Source organism: Homo sapiens, chromosome 14 (genome assembly GCF_000001405.40).
Source record: "Homo sapiens chromosome 14, GRCh38.p14 Primary Assembly".
Lineage (NCBI taxonomy): Eukaryota > Metazoa > Chordata > Mammalia > Primates > Hominidae > Homo > Homo sapiens.
Window position 1 is genome coordinate 103,800,041 of NC_000014.9, and position 24,142 is coordinate 103,824,182.

The 24,142-nt window shown below is 42.8% G+C and overlaps 1 protein-coding gene across 12 annotated transcripts in view, besides 2 other annotated features; it reads right to left on the reverse strand.

Moving 5' to 3' along the window:
* PPP1R13B (protein phosphatase 1 regulatory subunit 13B) overlaps nt 1-24,142 on the reverse strand; it is a 115,620-nt gene that overhangs the window by 66,846 nt on the left and 24,632 nt on the right. Inside the window, exon 1 of one of the 12 annotated variants that reach the window (XM_047431170.1) lies at nt 18,441-18,462. The exons of the other annotated variants lie outside the window; for them this stretch is intronic. The gene's annotated coding sequence lies outside the window, so the exon portion shown is untranslated. Of the gene's footprint in view, nt 1-18,440; nt 18,463-24,142 lie in introns of those variants that run through there. 12 annotated transcript variants of the gene reach the window in all.
* Nucleotides 6,853-6,952: an enhancer, noted in NCBI's record as "active region_9111". NCBI's record gives its function as "activates an Ori minimal core promoter by ATAC-STARR-seq in GM12878 lymphoblastoid cells {active_cell/tissue: GM12878}" and the evidence as "EXISTENCE:reporter gene assay evidence [ECO:0000049][PMID:35858748]".
* Nucleotides 20,132-20,231: an enhancer, noted in NCBI's record as "active region_9112". NCBI's record gives its function as "activates an Ori minimal core promoter by ATAC-STARR-seq in GM12878 lymphoblastoid cells {active_cell/tissue: GM12878}" and the evidence as "EXISTENCE:reporter gene assay evidence [ECO:0000049][PMID:35858748]".

A 24,142-nucleotide genomic window follows, 5' to 3' on the forward strand; every position in this document is an offset into this window, starting at 1 on the left:
GACTCTATCTCAAAAATAAATAAATAAATAAATAAAAATAAAGGAATAAAGTAAAATTTAAACCAAAGATTTTCTTTAATCAGAAGGTATTATAAAACATTTATGTCTAATCTTTGACAAAAGGTCAGAAACAGGCCAGAAATGGTGGCTCATGACAGTGGTCTCAGCTGGAGGCTGAGGTGGGAGGATCACTTGATCCCAGGAATTTGAAGCTGCAGTGCAGCTTACAATCACGCCACTGCACTCTAGCCTGGGCAACAGAGCCAGACCTTAAAATCTCTGCATTCGAGTAAGCATATGATTTTAGTTTGTTGTTAAGATTTTTTTTTCATCCAGGCACAGTGGCTTACGCCTGTAATCCCAGCACTCTGGGAGGCCAAGGTGGGCGGACTACTTGAGATCAGGAGTTTGAGACCAGCCTGGCCAACATGGCAAAACACTGTCTCTACTAAAAATACAAAAAATTAGCCAGGCGTGGTGGCCCGCGCCTCTAGTCCCAGCTACTCAGGAGGCTGAGGCATGAGAATCACTTGAACCCCGGGGGGCAGAGGTTGCAATGAGCCAAGATTGCACCATTTCACTCCAGCCTGGGCAACACAGCAAGACTGTCTCAAAAAAACAAAAAAAACAAAAAACAAAAAAAAAGATTTTTTTTTCTTACAAGTGCCCTAAATTCCTACATTCTGAAATTAAGCATCTTTACATCTATGGTCAGATTTTATGTAACCAAAATTGATAACAGCTTTGAACTGGTTTCCTTGCCACTAATCTCCCCCGACTCTAACTCCTCACCGTTACCATTTCATTTTTTTTCTTCTTCTTTTTTTGAGACGGAGTTTCGCTCTTGTTGCCCAGGTTGGAATGCAATGGCATGAACTCGGCTCACTGCAACCTCCGCCTCCTGGGTTCAAGCGATTCTCCTGCCTCAGCCTCCCGAGTAGCTGGGATTACAAGCATGCACCAACACACCCAGCTAATTCTGTATTTTTAGTAGAGATGGTGTTTCTCCACATTGATCAGGCTGCTCTCAAACTCCCGACCTCAGGTGATCTACCCACCTCGGCCTCCCAAAGTGCTGGGATTACAGATGTGAGCCAACACGTCTGGCCTACCATTTCATTTTCTAAAAGTCAAATAAAGTTATTCCCTTGCTTAAAATATTTAAGAGCTCCCCACTGCCCAACACCAGCCCTTCCCAAAACACCTTCGCTGGTATATAAGCAGGAGATAGGTTTCTTAACTGAGCACTCCTTAAGAGTCTAATGTAATGATCATATATATTTCTTTTTTCCCTCCAGGGAATCTCATGAGGCTTGGATTTCTATAAAATATACTCTGAGAAAACCTTCCAGGTTCTAAGTCTCTCCAAGCACTAAACCTCCCTCCATCAGCATCAATGGAGTTCTCTCTGGCAGCCGTCCCTCTGCCCAAGTACCCTTCCTGTTTGCCTGTAAATTCCTATTCACAATTCAAAACTCAGCTCCTAACTACCATTTTTGCAAAAACATCCCTTTACCGCCTCCGCTCACCAGGGAGGCCACATGCTCCTTCCTTTACGATCCAGTGGCTCTTCACACAGATCTCTATTGCATCACCTCAATGACTCCCTCCCTTTATAGACTCTGCACTCTTCCAAGCACTTCACTTTTGAGTCTTTAATTTCCCATTGCTGAGTCAGGACCTGACGCATAGGAGGCACACTAAAATCTGGTCAACTCCATGAATGACACACAAATATAGAACCCCCACCATGCCCTAAGTTGAGAAAAAATATATACACACACAATTGAAGTAAGATATATCCAGTCTGTTCAATAAACAAGCATCATCCCTCTTCCCTGAGCACATTTCTATTTTACAATAAATTTTTTAAAAATTAAGTAACAGTTACCTCTGCTCACTAACCTGTAAGAAGAATTTATAAAAACTGGGGATTTTTGTATACTGAAATAAGTAGCCTGGAATCTACAGAATTTGGAATAAAACAGGTAATCACTGGATCCAGCTCAAACCAAGGCCAAGACTAATACTTTAACAGTTTCATCAGAAACAACTGGAATATAGTTTTATTCTTACTTATACACATTTATTCTACAGTTGTAATGGTAAATATTTTCCAATGTGACTTCACAATCTATGCTCTTAAAGATCTAGTAATATCGGGAGGCTGAGGCAGGACAATGGCGTGAACCCGGGAGGCGGAGCTTGCAGTGAGCCAAGATAGCACCACTGCAGTCAGGCCTGGGCAAAAGAGTGAGACTCTGTCTCAAAAACAACAACAACAACAAAAAGATCTAATAATAAATTTTCCCAAATCATGCTTTATAAATTGAAGTTTCAAATGAGTAAAAAAATTTTTTTTTACTACCTTCCCTTATATGCTATTCCTACAGTTCACTAGCAACAAGCAGAATGCCCTGTTTCACTCAGTACTTCGGAATCGGTTTTTCTTCCTTGTTCCTTACCCTTCTACCCACTAAGGCATCCCACGGTTTGCTCTCAACGCTCTGAGCTAGCAAAACATTTGCACAATCATTGCCTCATGAATATAGCACGCGTAAAGCAGTACCCTTAGGCACTCACAGAGGCACAGCTTGTGCTTACTTGCTCTGAAACGCGGAATTCTTTATGAATGCATTGTCAGAATGAAGGATGGTATGGCAGCATTTTGGGGTACCTTCTGAATTACCAAGACTCTTCAGCTCATGAGTAAGTTCAATATGATGAGGGAGGGGGAGAGGCACGATGACAGGTTGTAAATCTGGATATTTTTAAAAGCGAAGAACACCCAAATAACTTATCCAAAAGTCACTAAACATTATTTCAATTTCTTGTGTTCCATTTTATCACTCGCAATAACCCTGTCTTTCCTAATTTTAGCAAAATTCATTTTCCCTAATCTCTATTATTCAAGCTAATTTCATTATAATCATGGCAGACTTTAAAGCTTTCTAGAGAAATTAAGCTGGTTTTGACCTGGATGACCCTAAAGCATCACCGAAAACTGAAGCTGAAAAGCCGTGTGACTGCTAATGTTATTCTAGTAAGATTTCTTCAGCTTAAACATGACTAAAGAAGCTCCAAAACAAATATAGTGTATTGATTCTAGATGCACTTGCTTGTATTTTAATAACATCTTTGAAATCATAGTACACCTCACGATGGCATGACACAATTTAATGGGTAGCATATTTTTTTCTTTAATAGTATGTACAAAACAGATGAAATTCAGTAGGATTAAGGAAACTAAATGAAAAAAGAAAACAAGTTAATACGTTTATCCTTCCTAAATGATTAATATGTTAAAAATAAAAGATTTGGGGCCGGGTGCGGTGGCTCACACCTGTAATCCCAGCACTTTGGGAGGCCAAGGCAGGCGGATCACTAGGACAGGAGATCAAGACCATCCTGGCTAACACAGTGAAACCCCATCTCTATTAAAAATACAAAAAATTAGCCGGACATGGTGGTGGGCACCTGTAGTCCCAGCTACTCGGGAGGCTGAGGCAGGAGAATGCTGTGAACCCGGGAGGTGGAGCTTGCAGGGAGCCGAGATAGCACCACTGCACTCCAGCCTGGGCAACAGAGCGAGACTCCGTCTCAAAAATAAATAAATAAATAAATAATTAATTAATAAACAAATAAATAAAAGATTTGGTTAGCTACAGTTAGGAAAACAAAAATTTCTAATTGTGTGCTGTAACAAATATAGCATGTAATGACAAGATGCCCTACTTATGCCTTTCCTCAAACTGCTTCTCTGCCCTGATGAATCACACAACAAATCCTGCCCCTTTCTGCTCACTGACAGTACTCTCTACCCATCCTGACCTGACCTGAGAAAGACTGGAACCAATGTCTGCCCATCTTGACCCAACCTCAGATAAAGCCTCCTCTTCTCCCCTGCTGTAACAGACTGTGGCTATTTATAGTACAACTTTCTTACATTAAATTATCAATAGTTTTCTTGACTACATCCTCTACTGGAACAGTATCTGTGACTCATTACCTGGTCTTGAAATCATCTAAGTGTGTCTTAACTTGCTCCATTTTTTTTTTCATTCAAAAAAGTTGGAAAATATCATACTAGACCATAAGGACAATACTTGTGTTCTCCAGCTCAGTGCCTGGACACACAGTGGTGCTCAAGAAATGCAGGATGAGGCAGGCAGAAAACTGACAACCATTATTAAGTAGCTTAAGACGTCATCTTACCCTTGCTTTCAGGAACATCTGAACTAAGAAAATCAACTGAAATCAAATAATCACTAATTTAAGTAAACCACACAGATATTTTAACATTTTTACAAACTTGGTATTTAAACTATTTTCTTGGCAATCCAAGGAAACCAAAGCAAAACACAAATTGAGGATGTATAAGCTATTAAAAAACAGGAATTAGCTGGGCATGGTGACTCAAGCCTGTAATCTCAACACTGAGGGAGGCAGAGGCAGGAGGATCGCTTAGGCCCAGGAATTTGAGACCAACGTGGGCAACATGGTGAGACCCCATCTCTACTAAAAACTAAATAAATGAATAAACAACTAGCTGGGCATCATGGTATGTGTCTGTAGTCCCACCTACTCGGGACACTGAGGTAGAGGATCACATAAGCCCAGGAGTTCAGTGCTGCAGTGAGCTATGATCACACCACTATACTACAGCCTGGGTGATAGAGTGAGATCCCATCTCTAAGGAAAAAAAAAAATCTAAACAGGAATTATCCTATAATCAAAGAGACAGACAATCACAAGCATTGACAAGGATGTGGAGAAACTGAAACCTTCATATATTGGTGATGAAGATGTAAAATGGTACAGCTATTTTGCATAACAGTCCAGCTGGAGTGCAGTGGCTCAATCTCAGCTCACTGCAACCTCCGCCTCCCAGGTTCAAGTGATTCTCCTGCTTCAGCCTCCCAAGTAGCTGGGATTATAGGCGCACGCTATCACGCCTGGCTAATTTTTTTATTTTCAGTAGAGATGGGGTTTCACCATATTGGCCAGGCTGGTCTCGAACTCCTGAGCTCACGTGATCTGCCCACCTCGGCCTCTCAAAGTGCTGGGATTACAGGCGTGAGCCACTATGCCCGGCCTAAAAAATTTTAAACACAGATTTGCCATATGGCCCCCAGCAATTCCACTCCTAGGTACCTACCCTGGGGAAATAAAAATATATGTCCACGCAAAGTCTTGTATGCAAATGTTCATAGCTGCACTGTTCATAGTAGCCAAAAAGAAGAAACAAGGCCAGGAACGGTGGCTCATGCCTGTAATCCTAGAACTTTGGGAGGCCAACGGTGGCAGATTACTTGAGCTCAAGAGTTCAAGACCAGCCTGGGAAACATAACAAAACCCCGCCTCTACAAAAAATTCAAAAAGTAGCTGGGCATGGTGGCACACGTCTATAGTCCCAGCTACTCAGGAAGCCTAGGTGTGAGGATTGCTTGAGCTCAGGAGGTCAAAGCTGCAGTGAACTGTGATCATGCCACTGCACTCCAGCTTGAGTGACAGAGCGAGATGCTGTCTCAAAAAAAAGGAAGGAAAGAAGGAAGGAAGGAAGGAAGGAGAGAGAAAAGGAAAGACAAGACAAAACCAAAATCTCCATTAACAGATAATTATGGAATATCATACAATGGAATATTATTCAGCAATAAAAGTAACAAAGTATTGACACATGCTACAACATGGATGAACTTTGAAAATACTAAGCTAAGTGAAAGAGGCCAGACACAAAAGACCACATGTTATATGATTCCATTTATATGAAATGCCCAAAACAGTCAAATCCATAGAGAAAGAAAGATGTGTGGTTGCCTAGGACTGGGGATGGGAATGAGGAGTGATGGCAAATAGGCACAAACTTTGTTTTGGTATGACAGTAATGTTCTAAAATTAGATTGTGGTGATGGCTGTACAACTATGTAAATTTACTAAAGATCACTGAATGTTCACTTAAAATAGGTAAACTTTACGGCACATAAATTATAACACAATGAAGCTGTTTTTAAAAAGTAGGATATATAAAACTTCTAGAAAAGGAATTCAGAAACTTGACTTACATGGTACAAAGAACCCTGGAATAGGAAGCCCAAGTTCTATCCTTAGCTATGGCATTGACTGCTGCAACTGGCTGGGGAAGCTGCTCCTTAGTCTATCTCTGGGTCTTGGTTTCTTGGCAAGAACTCAGCAGATAATATGAAACACATATTTGCAGGAAAATGGCTCTCAGGCTTTTCTGGCCCAACCCAATCAGGTAAAGTATTAGATCCCCCAGCTCACCTATACCATCTACTACTTCTTTCTGGTGGAAAAGGAGCTCAGGGATAACAAAAAATAACTGAAGAGAAATAAGGTGATAAAAGCTATACTAAATTTTAGTAACTTGCAATAACTCACTTGGTAGGTTATGAGTAAATAGCTCATAAAAGCCACAGAAAGGATCAGTTGGGGTGAGGGTGGGTGAACACCAGGAAGACCCCTTTAGCTTTCCAGCAGGCCACGCACCCCAAAATGAGAATTGATGCTAAGGTCCCTTCTGGCCCTGATTGCAACTCAGTTCACCAATTTAAAATCTCAGAAACATTAGAGCTGTAAGGAAAACTAAGTCTAAGCCATCACCCTAAATGCTTCATCTCACTTTCCTCAATTAGCCTCTCAAAGACTGAAAAACACACCTGGGAGTTGCTGTCATCCACACAGAAAAAGGAGAATAAAATAAAGGATTGGCTCAACTCCCTTCTCTCTCATACTCCACAAACAATCCATTAGCAAGACTGTCAACCTCGTACCCAGAAACTGATAACTCGTCTCCCTGGCTACTACCCAAGCCCGAGCCACCACCACCTCTCAGAAAGGATGTCTGCAAGAGCAAACTCATTCATCTGTTTCCACTCTCACCCTTCAGATACATCACTTCATTCAAAACCTTCCCGTGGTTTCCTCTCTGAGAATAAATTTCAAAGTCCTAACTATTGTCTAAGAGGCCCTGCAAGACCTGCAACACACACATGCATACCTCTCTGATCTCAGTGCTTACCACACTCTTCATCCCTTCTGCCTCCCTCAACAGGGCAAGCCAACTCCTGCCTCAGGGGCTTTGCACTTGCTATTCTCTGCATAGACCGCTTCACTCAGCTACTGACATTGTATTACCCTCTTCTTTCAGGCCTCTGCTGGAATGGTGTCTTAGCAAGGAAGCTTTCCTTAACCGAGAGTCTACCTAAAATAGCACTACTCCATCCCTCTGTCCTCCTACCCTGGTTTATGTATTTCTGCTTAGCACTCAACCACCACCTGATCTATGTATATATTTGTTTATCCTCTGTCTGTTGTCACTAGAACACATAAGCTTCTTGAGAGCAGAGTTTCAGTTAATTACCTGCTGTGTCAGTAGTGCCTGAAGCAGTGCCTGGCACGTAAGAAGCACTCAATAAACTCCCCCAATTATACGTAAAATGTCCCTTTTTTTTGAGACAGAGTATCACGCTGTTGCCCAGGCTGGACTGCAGTGGCGCGATCTCGGCTCACTGCAAGCTCTGCCTTCCGGGTTCACGCCATTCTCCTGCCTCAGCCTCCCAAGTAGCTAGGACAAAAAGTGCCTGCCACCACGCCCGGCTAATTTTTTGTATTTTTAGAAGAGACGGGGTTTCACCATGTTAGCCAGGATGGTCTCGATCTCCTGACCGTGTGATCCATCCACCTTGGCCTCCCAAAGTGCTGGGATTATAGGCGTGAGGCACCACACCTGGCCACGAAATGTCTTTTTATAGTAGGTTTCTTGAATCATGACAGGTAGGTGTTTGCCTGTTTTCTCATCTTCAAGTTCTCTGTAGAAAAGACAATATTTTACCCCTCTAATCACTGAATTAGTCCACATCAAAGAGAAGAAAAATATTCTTAAAAAAAGTTAGTGTAAGGCTGGGCACAGTGGCTCATGCCTATAATCCCAGCACTTTGGGAGACCAAGGTAGACAGATCATTTGAGGTCAGGAGTTCGAGACCAGCCTGGCCAACATGGCGAAACCCCATCTCTACTAAAAATACAAAAAAAAATTAGCTGGGCGTGGTGGCACCTGCCTATAATCCCAGCTACTCAGAGGCTGAGACAGTGGAATCCCTTGAACCCAGGAGGCAGAGGTTGCAGTGAGCCAAGATCACGCCACTGCACGCCAGCCCGGGCGACAGTGACTCTATCTCAAAAAAAAAAAAAAAATTAGTGTGAAAGTCAGGAGCCTTGAACATAACTATGTGGTATTCGGCAGATTTCACTCAAACCTAGAGAAACAATGGATGTCCCTTGCTCTAAAGCAGGGGTGTCCCAACTTTGGGCTTCCCTGGGCCACACTGGAGAATTGTCTTGGGCTACACATAAAATACACTAACACTAATGATAGCCAATGAGTTAGAAAAAAAGATCATTAAAAAACATATATATATCATGATGTTTTAAGAAAGTTTACTAATTTGTGTTGGGCTGCATTCAAAGCTGTCCTGGGCCTCCTGTGGCCCGGTGCCATGGGTTGGACAAGCTTGAGCTAAAGCTTCTTTCCACAAGGTGGCACTGCAGGGTAACGGGGGTGAGTTCAGCACTACCCCCTTCCCCTGACACAAATTTTAGGGATGAAGAATTAACTCCAAGGAAAATAAAGGTACAGTTTAGTAAGATCATATTAAGTTCAATTTCCATAATTAGGGCTTGTATTATTTTGGAAAAGGAATAAAATTAACCTTAGAGCAATGAAAATTTTTTTCTAAATAAATAAGACTGTAGAAGTACATATTTAACCCTCTTACGAAGGCAGAGACAGCTATACACCCATTTTTTTTAATGTTTCTTTTTTTTAGAGACAGGATCTTGCTCTGCTGCCCAGGCTGAGCGCAGCAGCACCAATCCTAGCTCACTGCACCCTCGAACTCCTAGGCTCAAGTGATCCTCCCTCGCCTCAACTTTCAAGTAGCTGAGACTGTAAAAGCGCACCACAGCTAATTTTTTTTATTTTTTGTAGAGATGGGGTCTATGCCCAGGCTGGTCTCTAACTCCTGGGCTCAATTATCCTCCCGCCTTGGCCTCCCAAAGTGCTGGGATTACAGGCATGAGCCACCATGCTCAGCCTAGACATATTTAAATATCTGAGTAGCATCTACTCAAAGTTAAATAGCCACTACAATAGATCTCAATAACCTTATCAATTCTGTTGAGTTCTAATCACTGTTTTACTTGCGTTAATAATTTCACATTTTAAATTACATTATACAGTATTCCTGGGAATACAAAATAGACACCTTAGCTTCTATTTGCATTATTTACTTAGTATATAGTCCCTTCAGTATTTAAAAGCATAACGCATTTTGAGAGAACCTATCTTAAACCTTGTAGAAATGTGAAATTCATACAGCTTTCCATAATACCAAGATGTGTCATGACTACAGGATATAGAGGTGATACAGCTGACCACATTTATTCTATCCACTAAAACTTAAAGAATACTCTAGAATAGGTTGGGTGTGGCGGCTCACACCTGTATGCCAGCACTTTGGGAGGTTGAGGTGGGCAGGCTGCTCGAGCTCAGGAGCTCGAGATCAGCCTGGGCAACATGGCGAAACCCTATCTCTACAAAAAGCACAAAAAATTAGCCAGGCATGGTAGTATATGCCAGTAGTCCCAGACACGTGGGGGGCTGAGGCAGGGAGGATCACTTGAGCCCAGGAGGTCAAGGCTGCAGTGAGCTATGATCAAACCACTGCACTCCAGCCTGGGTGACAAAGTGAAACTCTTGTCTCAAAATTATTATTATTATTTTTGAGACAGAGTCTCGCTCTGTCGCCCAGGCTGGAGTGCAGTGGCACGATCTCGGCTCACTGCAACCTCTGCCTCCCGGGTTCAAGTGATTCTCCTGCCTCAGCCTCCCTAGTAGCTGGGACTAGAGGCATGCGCCACCATGCCTGGCTAATTTTTGTATTTTTAGTAGAGACGGGGTTTCACCATGTTGGCCAGATGGTCTTGATCTCTTGACCTTGTGATCTGCCCGCCTTGGCCTCCCAAAGTGCTGGAATTACAAGTGTGAGCCACCGCGCCCAGCTGTCTCAAAATTTTAAAAAGGCCAGGCGTGGAGGCTCATGCCTTTAATCCCAGCACTTTCGGAGGCTGAGGCAGGTGGATCATGAGGTCTGAAGTTCGAAACCAGCCTGGCCAACATGGTGAAACCCCATCTCTACCAAAAATACAAAAATTAGCCCGACGTGGTGGCACATGCCTATAATCCCGGCTACTCAGGAGGCTGAGACAGGAGAATCGTTTGAACCCAGGAGGCAGAGGTTGCAGTGAGCCAAGTGACAGAGTGAGACTTCCTCTCAAAAATAATAAAAAATTAAAATTAGAAAATAATACTCTAGAATAAAGAACAGTATCAATTCTGACACCACTGTTCATCAATATTGAAAATTACTTTGGCTGGGCGTGGTGGCTCATGCCTGTAATCCCAGCACTTTGGGAGGCCAAGGCAGGCGGATCATGAGGTCAGGAGATTAAGACCATCCTGGCTAACACAGTGAAACTCGTCTCTACTAAAAATACAAAACATTAGCTGGGCGTGGTGGTGGGCGCCTGTAGTCCCAGCTACTCGGGAGGCTGAGGCAGGAGTATGGCGTGACCCGGGAGGTGGCGCTTGCAGTGAGCCGAGATCGCACCACTGCACTCCAGCCTGGATGACAGAGCGAGACTCCATCTCAAAAAAGAAAAAAAAAAATTGAAAGTGACTGCTTGAGGCTAGGTGTGGTGGCTCGTGCTTGTAATCCCAGCACTTTGGGAAGCTGAGCCCGGTGGATCACTTGAGGTCAGGAGTTCAAGACCAGCCTGGGCAACATGGTGAAGCCCCGTCTCTACTAAAAAAAAAAAAAAAATTAGCCGGGCATGGCAGTGCGTGCCTGTAATTCCACCTAACTCAGGAGGCTGAAGCAGGAGAATTGCTTAAACCCGGGAGGCAGAGGTTGCAGTAAGCTGAGATTATGCCACACTGCACTCCAGCCTAGAGGACAGCGTGAGACTCCTCCTCAAAAAAAAAAAAAAAAAAAAAAAAAGACAAAGAAAATTACTGCTTGAAATAATGGTTGCTTTACTAATGTTGATCACGTGAATATTATGGAAGCAGAACAAACACTGAATTTTAAACCACAGACTATGACCTCTTAGTGGGCTCTAAAATCAATTAGTGCCTCAGGACCAGTTTTGTTTTTTAATGAACTAGAACAGAACAATATATAACAGTTATTAAGAGAATGAAAAGACAAGCCACAGACTGGGAGAAAATATCTGCAAAGTACATATTTGATAAAGGACTTGGCCAGGTGTGGTGGTTCACACCTATAATCCCAGCACTTCGGGATGTCTGTAATCCCAGCATTTTGGGAGGCTAAGATGGGTGGATCACTTGAGCCCAAGAGTTCGAGAACAGTCTGAACAACATAGGGAGACCCCATCTCTACAAAAAACACAAAAAGTAGCCAGGTGTAGTAGTGCAGGCCTGTAGTCCCAGCTTCTTGGGAGGCTGAGGTAGGAGGATTGCTTGAGCCCAGAAGGTCGAGGCTGCAGTGAGCTATGACTGTGCCACTGCACTCCAGCCTGGGCACAAGAGTGAGACCGTCACTAAATAAATAAATACATAAAGGACTTGTATCCTAAATACACAAATAACTCTTTTTTCTTTTTTGAGATGGAGTCTCGCTCTGTCACCCAGGCCGGGCGCAGTGGCTCACACCTGTAATCCCAGCACTTTGGGAGGCCAAGGCTGGCAGATCATGAGGTCAGGAGATCAAGATCATCCTGGCTAACATGGTGAAACCCCGTCTCTACTAAAAATACAAAAACAGCATTAGCCGGGTGTGGTGGTGGGCGCCTATAGTCCCAGCTACTTGGGAGGCTGAGGTGGGAGAATGGCGTGAACCTGGGAGGCGGAGCTTGCGGTGAGCTGAGATTGAGCCACTACACTCCACCCTGGGCGACAGAGCCAGACTCCCCCTCAAAAAAAAAAAAAAAAAAAAAACCTCAATAATCATAAAACAAGCTAATGTTTTTGTTTCTGTGTGTGGTTTTTTTTTTTTTTTTTTTCTAGACAGTCTCTGTCACCCAGGCTGGAATGCAGTGGCGCAATCTCAGCTCACTGTGACCTCTGCCTCCTGGGTTCAAGCGATTCTCCCGCCTCAGCCTCCCGAGTAGCTGGGACTACAGGTGCCTGCCCCCACACTCAGCTAATTTTTGTATATTTTTAGTAGAGATGGGGTTTCACCATATTGGCCAGGCTGGTCTCGAACTCCTTACATTGTGATCCGCCCACCTCGGCCTCCCAAAGTGCTGGGATTACAGGCGTGAGCCACCGCGTGTGGCTGTTTCTGTGTTTTTGAGACACAGTTTCACTCTGTCGCCCAGTCTGGAGTGCCGTGGCACAAGCTCAGCTCACTGCAACCTCTGCCTCCTGGGTTCGAGCGATTCTCGTGACTCAGCTTCCTGAGTAGCGGGGATTGGGGTGCCTGCCATCAGGCCCAGCCAATTTTTGTATCATTAGTAGAGATGGTGTTTCACCATGTTGGCCAGGCTGGTCTCGAACTCCTGACCTCAAATGATCCCCCTGCCTCAGCCAAGGTGCTAGGATTACACGCGTGAGCCACCGCACCTGGCCAAAACAACCTAATTTTTAATGGGCAAATGATCTGAACAGATACTTCACCAAAGATGACATACAAATGGAAAAATAAACATATGAAAAACATGTTCCGTATCATAGGTCATTTGGGAATTGCAAATTATTAATAAAACAACAGTGAAATACTACTACACACCTACTAGAATGGCCCAAATCCAAAGCATCGACAACACCTAACACTGGTGAGGATGCGGAGCAAAAGGAACTTGCAGTTGGGAATACAAAATGGTACAGCCATGTTGGAAGACAGTTTGGTGGCTTCTTAAAAAACTAAGCATACTTTTACCATGTGATCCAGCAATCCCACCACTTGGTCTTTACCCAAAGGAGTTGAAAATGTGTCCAGACAAAAACCTGCATGTGAATGTTTATGGCAGCTTTGTTCATAATTGCCAAAACTTGGAAGCAACCAAGATGTCCTTCAGTAGATGAATGGATAAACAAACTGTGGTACATAATACTGCTGGAATATTATTCAGTTATTCAGCAATGTTAAAAAAAAAAAGCACAAATCCAGAAGAGAGTCCCCACTGTACTTTCACGTCCCCACCGTACTTTCTGCTCCATCTTTCTGTATATCTAAAACTTCTATAAAAAATAAGACAGTACACTGCCCATGGAAAGGGTAAGATATGGTTTGGCTGTGCCCCACCCAAAAGCTCATCTTGAATTGTAATACCCATGTGTCAAGGGGAGAACCAGGTGGACATAATTGGATCATGGGGCGGTTTCTCCCATTTTGTTCTCGTGATAATGCGTGAGTCTCACGAGATCTGATGGTTTTATAAGCATCTGGAATTTCCCCTGCTGGCATTCGTTCTCTCTCCTGTCAGCCTGTGAAGAGGTGCCTTCCGCCATGATTGTAAGTTCCTGAGGTCTCCCAGGCACGCAGAACTGTGAGTACATTAAATCTCTTTCCTTTATAAATTACCCAGTCTCCGGTAGTTCTTTATAGCAGGGTAAGAGAAGAGTAACATAGGGTGTTTTCTCCTGACATTTTGACACGTATAGATACGTGTCTGAGTATTTAGGTAAGAACTGAGTCACCTTGTAAAAGGTATTTCTTAGTGTGGGTTCATGGTCAGAAAAGTTTGAAAGATACTACTCTGAGGGCCTCATGAAACCTACCAGGACTTCCATAAAACTAAATGAAAAGTCACTGCACTAGGGAAAAAACATTTCCATTATCATTTATTGGTACTTATTATTACTCATTATAGTATGGACTTTACACATTCTCAATTGTCATACCATCTTTGTGATATAGGTACTACTCTTCACTTTACAGATTAGGAAAAAGAGGGTCAGAGAGGTTAAATAATTTGTCCCAGATGGGCGTGGTGGCTCACACCTGTAATCCAGCACTTTGGGAGGCCAAGGCGGATGGATCACCTGAGGTCTGGAGTTCACGACCAGCCTGGCCAACATGGTGAAACCCCGTCTCTACTAAAAATACAAATATTAGCCGGGCATGGTGGCACATGCCTATAATCCCAGCTACTTGGGAGGCTGAGGCAGGAGAATGCCATGAACCTGGGAGGCCGAGCTTGCAGTGAGCCGAGATTGCCCCACTGCACTCCAGCCTGGGCGACAGAGCAAGACTCCGTCTCAAAATAAATGAATAAATAAATAAATAAAATAATAATTTGTCCCAAGTCTGCTGAACTAATAAATACTAGAGTCAGGATTTAACCCTGGCCTGTGTGACTCCAAAGCTTAAGCTTTAAACCACTACTCTAAAATGCTTCAAAATAAAAAAGATAAGGCAGTAAAAGTTTCAATGGGCTGAGCCCCGTGGCTCACACTTATAATCCCAAGACTTTAGGAGGCTGAGGCAAAAGGATCACTTGAGGGTAGGAGTTAAGAGATGAGCCTAAGCAACTTGACGAGACCACATCACTATTTAAAAAAAAACAAAAACCGGCGGCGGGGCGCGGTGGCTCACGCCTGTAATCCCAGCACTTTGGGAAGCCAAGGTGGGCGGATCACGAGGTCAGGAGATCGAGACCATCCTGGCTAACACAGTGAAACCCTGTCTCTACTAATAATACAAAAAATTAGCCGGGCATGGTGGTGGGCGCCTGTAGTCCCAGCTACTCAAGAGGCTGAGGCAGGAGACAGGTGTGAACCCGGGAGGTGGAGCTTGCAGTGAGCCAAGATCACACCACTGCACTGCAGCCTGGGCGACAGAGCAAGACTCCGTCTCACAAAAAAAAACAAAAGGAAAGAAAAAAAATAGATGTTTATGTAAAAACTTGGAAATATTTATGGTATTATTCATAATAGCCAAAAAGTGGAAACAACTCAAACTGATGAATGCCTAAACAAAATGTGGTATACCCATACACTGGAATATTATTTGACCATAAAAAGGATTCAAATGAATGCTAAACATGGATGAAGCTTGGAAACATTAAGCCAAGTGAAAGAAGCCAGATACAAAATGTTCACATATTATATGATTCTGTTTTTATAAAATGTCCAAAACAGGCAAATCCACGGAGAGATAAAGTAGATTAGTCGTTGGTAGGAGCTGGGAGGAAGGAGAGAGCGGGAGTGACTGAAAAATGGGTACAAGATTTCTTTTTGGGATGAAAATATAAAACTAGATAGTAGTGATGGTTGCACAATTTGTGAATATACTAAGAACCAATGAATTGTACATTTTGAAAAAATGAATGTTATTGTATGTGAATTATGTACCAATAAAGCTGTTATTTAAAAAACACAAACACAGGCTAGGCATGGTGGCTCACGCCTGTAATCCCAGCACCTTGGGAAGCCAAGGTGGGTGGATCATGAGGTCAGGAGTTCCAAGACCAGCCCAGCCAACATGGTGAAACGCTGTCTCTACTAAAAATACAAAAATTATCCTGCACGGTGGCGGGCGCCTGTAATCCCAGCTACTCAGGAGGCTGAGGCAGGAGAATCGCTTGAAACTGGAAGGTGGAGGTTGCACTGAGCCAAGATCGCACCACTGCACTCCAGCCTGGGCAACAAGAGTGAAACTCCATCTCAAAATAAAATAAAATAAAATAATTTTAAAATAATAAAAAAAAGTACGGCCAGGTGTGGTGGCTCATGCCTGTAATCCCAGCACTTTGGGAGGCCGAGGCGGGCAGATCACAAGGTCAGGAGATCGAGACCATCCTGGCTAACACGGTAAAACCCCGTCTCTATTAAAAATACGAAAACATTAGCCAGGTGTGGTGACGGGCACCTGCAGTCCCAGCTACTCGGGAGGCTGAGGCAGGAGAATGGTATGAACCCAGGAGACAGAGCTTGCAGTGAGCTGAGATCGCGCCACTGCACTCCAGCCTGGGCAGCAGAGCAAGACTCCATCTCAAAACAAACAAACAAAAAACTAGCTATGCCAAGTATTCAACCTATACCATCAGTAAAATATTTTTCTCAATGAAAACAACTTTTTTTTTTTTTTTGAGACAAGAGTCTCACTCTGTTGCCCAAGCTGGAGTGCAGATGATCTTGGCTCACTGCAACTTCTGCCTCCCAGGTTCAAGCGATTCTCCTGCCTCAGCCTCTCAAGTAGCTGGGAATACAGGTGCGTGCCACCACCCCCGGCTAATTTTTGTATTTTTAGTAGAGACGGGGTTTCACCATGTTGACCAGGCTGGTCTTGAACTCCAGAACTCAGGCCAGGTTTCCGGCCAGGCACAGTGGCTCACGCCTGTAATCCCAGCACTTTGGGAGGCCAAGGCGGGCGGATCAGCTGAGGTCGGGAGTTCGAAACCAGCCTGGCCAACACGGTGAAACCCCGTCTCTGCTAAAAATATAAAAATTAGCCGGGGGTGGTGGCACATGCCTGTAATCCCAGTACTTGGAGGCTGAGGCAGGAGAATCGCTTGTACCCGGGAGGTGGAGGTTGCACCACTGCACTCTAGCCTGGGCAACAAGAGCAAAACTCAGTCTCAAAAAAAAAAAAAAAAAATTATTTCCTTTCATATATTTTTCCTTTTCTCAGCCCATAAACATTTATAGCTGTACCTTAATGTCTGCAAATACCAAAAATTCAGTATTAATCCATTTGCCAGTAGCAACTGGGGCTTAAAACAACAAAGATAATTAGAAAAATAATGTTCCTGAAGAACACTTTTATATAATGATGTATATCAATATAGCTTAGTAAATACTATTCATCTGATGAATACAATTTACAAAGGAAAAGTAAATCTAATAGCACCCCATCTTTTTACAAATGACTCTATCCATTTCCTCTTTCAGATCTGAGCCAGCTCTTGAAAACCATGATGCTGCCTTGAATTTGCTTATAATGCTCAGAGTTACTGTTCTTAAAATATTTCTCATCTTCAGAAAATTAAGCAAAAGCGAAGTGTGGAAAACAAAATTGCAAGTGCCTGGAGATTATCTATGTCATTTACAAAGGGAAAATACTTAGATGTCCCTCAGGCCTTGTGGAATCTAAATTCGGGCACTAATGACATGAGCCATGATAAGATGTCCTAATGAAACAAGACAGACCACCGTTGTTACTGCACAGTGACATGGTGGATAAAGTTTCACCTAATTAGGTGAGCTCCAGTGAAGAAAAAATTCACTGATAGCATTGTTCAATAACAACTGTAACCAAGATCTAGAAATCACTATCAAAATGAAGACTACACATAAATTTACTAATCTCCATATAAAACTTGTTATATTAAAAAAAAAAGACTTGTCTAAGCTTGGTTATCAACTTTAAAAAGTGAAACCTAAAGGTTTAAAAATATGTTTTCACAATAAATGCCTTGTTCATGTTTTATGCTTCTGAAAACTATTTGCTTGTTCAAAGTAGGGTACATACAGAGCTAAATTTTTTTTTAATTTTGTTAGTATTGACATTTTAGATAAAATCAGAATGAAATTTATAATAAGACACAACATTAAAGGACTTTTACCATTTATTAATAATAAAAATAGCTAATTATTTTTGCTTGCTATGTTTGAGGATAAGCCCCTCTCCTTTTTTTTAACTCTCAACAGGCCTATGCTAGGTGCTAGGATGATGATCCTGTCACTGCAGACAGACTGGCGTGTCCAAGGCCATGTGACTGAGATGCTTCAGACATGACAATCTAACCCAAGTGTGTCTGACTCCAAAGCTTAAGTTTCTACTCAGATAGTTCAGGAACAAAACAGTGCTAAAGTTTATGAACATTAAAAAAAAAAACCCAACTATTCAAGTTCTTCATCTTGATGAAACTACAGGAAATAATCTTTACCCAAAAATTATCAGATGGGTAAATCAAACTTTTTTTTTATAATGAAAGAACTCACTTCATACATGTAATATACACATACCTTTGAAAAACAAAACATTGTAAGTGTGACATAAAAGGATGAATTAGTAGATATTCATCGTAAAATCCAAAGATTAATGTACTCACAGGCTAGCCTGCCACCATGCAAAACATTTCCTACTACAGAAAGGAAATTAAAAATGAAAACTTTAACGCCTTCCTTCCCACTCTATGAGTTCCCACTCTTTTATGAATGTGGTTTGGGTCCTGAGATTTGGGTCTGCTCAGATACCAGAAGAGCCCTTATAAAACCCATCTACAATTTGTAGAATTTCAATACCATCCCTTTTGAAGACACTACTGATTAAAACATTAGGCTGCATATGAGTTTTCATATTTCTATGACCATAATTTCTACTCTTGCAAACAACAACCTATATTATGGAGAATGACTGAATTTCTCAATGTTAATATTGTCAGGTACCTGTTTTCACACAGGGAGAAGAACGAATATTTTCTTGGCAGCTACTAGACAAATCATACACCAGTTGATTTCGTCCTCATGGCAACCTCAGAGACATCAACTGGGATGGCCTTCAGATGACAATTCTTTCTCCTCTTCTCTGGGCTTCACATTTGGGCAAGTTCCCAGGGGTCACGCTTATTTTACATGGCCCATCCCTCTTGCCATGCTGACTCAACTAAGAAAAACACTTGATGAAAAATGTTCTTCATTATACAAATATTTATTGAGCACCTACTACCTGCCAGGCACTGGAGATTTGGCACTGACAAAATGGACAGGGTTCTGCCCTTATGGAATTCTTACTATATAGTTGGGAAAAAGAGACTAAATAAATAGGCAAAAAATATAGTATACTAGGTGGTACTATATAGTATGGAAAAAAATTAAGCAGACAAAGAAGACTGGGAATGGGGCAATTTTAGTTTTCAATAAGTGGTTAGAAAAAGCCTTACTGCTGAAGGATAATTCTAAGTTGGAAGGGGAACAAAAGCCTCACTGAAGGAGGAGAAAGGATGAGCCATAATGACAGCTTGAAGGAAGACCATTCAGGCGAAGGGAACAAGTGCAAAGGCCCTGAGGCAGAATGAATGCCTGAAGAGACTGAGAATCAATAAGGAGTCCAGCTTGACTGAAGCAGGGAAATCAAAGGGAGAGGAGTAGGAAATGAGAGATAAGCTACTAATTAGGCTTTTTCTCAGAAGGATATTAGCAGCCCTTGGAGGGTTTTAAGTAAGAAGTGGCATATTTTGCCATAAAGGTTTACAGGTTCACTGTGGCTGCTTTGTTGAGAACAGACTGAGGCGGGGAACAAGCACAGAATTAGGAAGACCTAGACATGGTGGTGCAGGCCTGTAGTCCCAGCTACTTGGGAGGCTGAGGTGGTAGGATCCCTTGAGCCCAGGAGTCTGAGGCTGCAGTGAACTATGATCCTGCTACTGTACTCCAGCCTGGGCAAGAGAATGAGAAATCTGTCTATTAAAAAAAACAAACAAACAAAAAAAAACAACAACAAAAAGAAATGAAACAGGAAGGAGTCTCAGGAGGCTAATATAAAAATCCAGGAGAGAATGAGAACCCTAGAGGTAATGCAAAATAGAACCTGGGTACACTGTAAAGTTAGCTCTGACAAGATTTGCTGATGGAGTGGATGTGGACTGTGAGAAAGAGGTCATGCCCTAGAGAGAAAGCCTACCACACCTGCTGCCAAGGTCCCCAGAGCTCCCCTGTTTCTGCCCCATCTGAAGATCTGGTTGTTAGGCTATCCCTCCAGAGTCCTTCCAATAAACCCCCTTTTGAGAGGTTACAAAACAACAGTTGGTTTCTGCCACTTGAAACCAAAAGGAACTTAACCGCTACAATTATTATCATTTTACAAAGAGAAACCTGAGTTGTAAAAAAGGCTCAGTACTTATCCCAGACCCACAGTTACTTGTAGTAGAGTTCAGATATGAACACCAGTCTGACTGGCTCCTAAGCCTGCACTTATTCCATTAAAGCACACTGCTTCCAAGGCCTTGAGTAGTCCTCTACCTGCCAACGGGTACAGAGAGCTTAAAACAAAAACAAGGGGGAGGGGCAGGGGAAAAAGGCCAGCAACAATCAGGCTTCAGTCCCAGCAACTTCCCTAGGGAGGGACGCGTGAGAAGCAGGAATCATCCTATTACGGACAACGCCCCTCCCTTCTCACCACCCCACCAGGTCCAGAGCCTCAGCTCCTCTGTTCAGCAAACACAGGAAAGCCCCAGCTCCACGAAGTTGAAAGCTCTGGCCACAGAAGAGGAGAGAAAATGGGGCCAAATTCGCAGATCACCTTTCCTTTTGTTTTATCATCTTTCTACACTGCTGCAAAATCATTTTCTCTCTCTTCTCAAAAATAGTGTTGTTATTGGCTTAGCACTCAGGATGTTCTCACAAGGACCCGTATTTTTGACACAAAAATAAAACATTCAATAAACATTCACATTAGTCCTTTTTTTTTTTTTAATAGACAGGGTCTCACTCTGTTACCCAGGCTGGAGTGCAGTGGTGCAATTATGGTTCACTGCACCCTCAACTTCCTAGGCTCAAACTATCCTCCCACCTCAGCCTCACAAGTAGCTGGGACTGGCACACATACCACCATGCCCAGGATTTTTTTTTTTTTTTTTTTTTTTGTAGAGACAGGGTGGCCGCTCTATGATGCCCAGGCTGGTCTCCAACTCCTAGTCCCAAGTGATCCTCCCACCTCAGCTTCCCAAGGTGCTGGTATTACAAGTGTGAGCCACTGCACCCAGCCCTAGTCCTTTCAGAAGAAAAGCTTACATTAGAAGCTGCAAACTTAAAACAACACTACATAGGTGCCTCAATTTTTTTCTATAGTCACTAAAGTTGTTTGCGGGGAAAAAAGGGATAACTTTTTGTTTTTCTTGTAATTTGAGTTAGTAAGCAAGAAAGTGATTGCTACTTAGTCCTTTTGAAAGCATTCAATTAAAAGGGTTATGTTGAGATTTCAAGCTATCAAAAAGATCAGTCATAAAATCTTAGAGCCAGATTAGAACCTAATCTATCCAACACTCTTTCCCCATTTTGTAGATGAGGAAGTAGAAGCCCAGAAAAGGAAATAATTTGTCAAGGTTAATAAATCATCTTGGTAACAAAATGAAGACTAAAATCCAGGCTGATTCTCATCCCTGCATGACACATCCTTGTCAGTATTCAGTTACCTTGTTCACTGAATATTAAAGGAGGTCTGTAAAATGTCTAGCAACAGCACGACATACCATATTCTCTCAAATCTAATTTCCTCTTCCTCTTTTTAATTTCAGTACCTGATAATAATGGGCACTGAAAAAGTCGGGAAGCCTCCCCGCAACTTTTAAAATCATAGAAATGAACTGAAATTAAGTCACAAAAGAGACCCAAAATTGACACAGGAACATATCAAGTGTGAATTATAAATACAGAGGAGCACTGGGCACAGTGGCTCACGCCTATAATCCCAGCACTTTGGGAGGCTGAGGTGGGCGGATCACCTGAGGTTGGGAGTTCGAGACCAGCCTAACCAACATGGAGTAACCCCATCTCTACTAAAAATACAAAATTAGCCGGGCGTGGTGATGCCTGCCTGTAATCCCAGATACTCGGGAGGCTAAGGCAGGAGAATTGCTTGAACCCGGGAGGCAGAGGTTGCGGTAAGCTGAGATTGCGCCATTGCACTCCAGCCTGGGCAACAAGAGCAAAATTCCACCTCAAAAAAATAAATAAATAAAATAAATAAATAAATAAAGAGGAGCTGACCACAAAATAGATCTATAATATGATTTGAAAACATAAGAGGGCTCCATAAATACCAACAAGACCCTGGAAAATGTAAGCTAAGTGACAATATTTGTTAAAAATAAATAAGTCCAAGGCATTTAGTTGAGATATAATTGAGCTATCATAAAATTAAGAACTAAATATGCTGCTTTTGAGTGAAAAAAATAAGCTAACAGGACAGAGTGCTAGGACAACAGGTAAAACCAAGACCTTCCCATGCACATCTGGATATATGGAAACCCAATACAAATCATGCCTATGAAAAACTACATTGTTTCATCCACAAGACAATCCCAAGAGATGAGGATCAAAAAGCCACTTTTTTTTTTTTGGAGACGGAGTTTTGCTCTTGTCGCCCAGGCTGGGGTGCAGTGGCACAGTCTCAGCTCACTGCAACCTCCGCCTCCTGGATTCAAGCAATTCTCCTACCTCAGCCTCCCAAGTAGCTGGGACTACAGGCACCCACCACCACGCTAGGCTAATTTTTGTATTTTTAGTAGACACGGGGTTTCGCCGTGTTGACCAGGCTGGTGTCCAACTCCTGAACTCAGGTGATCTGCCCTTCTTGGCCTCCCAAAGTGCTGGGATTAGAAGAAGCGTGAGCCACTGCACCCAGCCAAAACCACAAACTTTTATAAAATCAAGTCTAAAGAGAAAACACCAAAACCCCACAGAATACATTTCTTTGTTCATAAAAATTCACCCTAACTACCTATTTCACCGGTGGCTCACGCCTGTAATCCCAGCACTTTGGGAGTCCAAGGCAGGTGGATCACAAGGTCAGGAGTTCAAGACCAGCCTGGCCAACATGGTGAAACCCCATTTCTACTAAAAATACAAAAAATTAACCAGGTGTGGTGGCGCACGCCTGTAATCCCAGCTACTGGGGAGGCTGAGGCAAAAGAATCACTTGAACCTGGGAGGCAGAGGTTGCAGTGAGCTGAGATTGCACCATTGCACTCCAGTCTGAGAGACAGAGCAAGACTCCATCTCGAGAAAAAAAAAAAGTATTTCCTAATCCTTCCTGCATTGAACAGGAACAAGGAAAAGAACCATTTATGACATGCAAATGAATGAGGTAGGTCATATCATCCCCACGTTACAGATGGAGAAGCAGACTCAAGAGATGCTTGACACCTTGCTGGGGATCAGAATCTAAACCCAGGGATGACCCCAAAAGCCTACTATATCACATTGCCCATAAGGATCCCTAAGTCTCTTAGAACAGGGACAATTTGGCCGGGCACAGTGGCTCACAGCTGTAATCCCAGCACTTTGGGAGGCTGAGGCAGGCAGATCATGAGGTCAGGAGATCGAGACCATCCTGGGTAACACGGTGAAACCCTGTCTCTACTAAAAATACAAAAAATTAGCTGGGCGTGGTGGCGGGTGCCTGTAGGTCCCAGCTACTTGGGAGGCTGAGGCAGGAGAATCGCTTGAACCCAGGAGGCGGAGGTTGCAGTGAGCTGAGATCGCGCCACTGCACTTCAGCCTGGGTGACACAGTGAGACTCTGTCTCAAAAAAAAGAAAAAAAAAAAACAACAGGGACAATTTGGCAGGCCACTGCTCTCCCTCCATCAAGGTGAGCTGGACAGTGTTATTCTCAAAGGAGAAGGGGAGGGATGGAGAAGGGAGAACAGTGTTCACATACGACTTGCACACTGGACCTAGCTTTGGTCTACATTTTGCTTCCTTCACACAAGGCCAGCCAAAACTCATGGGCTCTGGACCCTACCTTGTCACCAAGATCTTATACCTGGGGAATCAAATGACCTTGGAAATTCTAAACCCCAGAACCAAATTTCAACCATCAAAATTATTCAGTCTAGCAGTCTTCCTCCTCCTTGACTGCCACCTCCAACAATAACAGTAATAGCACCCACTTATTGACATTTACTATATGCTGGACTTTGTGCTGATCACTTTCCATGTATAACAACTTTCAAGCCTGCCAGAAATCCTGTTTTTTAAAGTATCTTTCTTATTTTTACAAATTAATATACATACACTTTAAAAAAAAAAGTCAACCAATAGAGGAAATAAAAAATAGCCCCCTAATGACCCACACTTTAAACAGCAGGTACATACATATCCTTTCAAACCCTTTCTACACCACAAAACACTTTCCTTCCTTTTTCACAATGAGGCCACATGAAGTAGAATGTTAGTTTTCCAGCTAACAATATGTTTTGTCAGCTGAAAAACATTCTACCTCATCCTTTTTTTTTTTTTTTTTTTTTTTTTGAGATGCAGTCTTGCTCTGTCGCCAGACTGGAGTGCAGTGGCGCGATCTCGGCTCATTGCGACCTCCACCTCCCAGGTTCAAGCAATTCTCCTGCCTCAGCCTCCCGAGTAGCTGGGA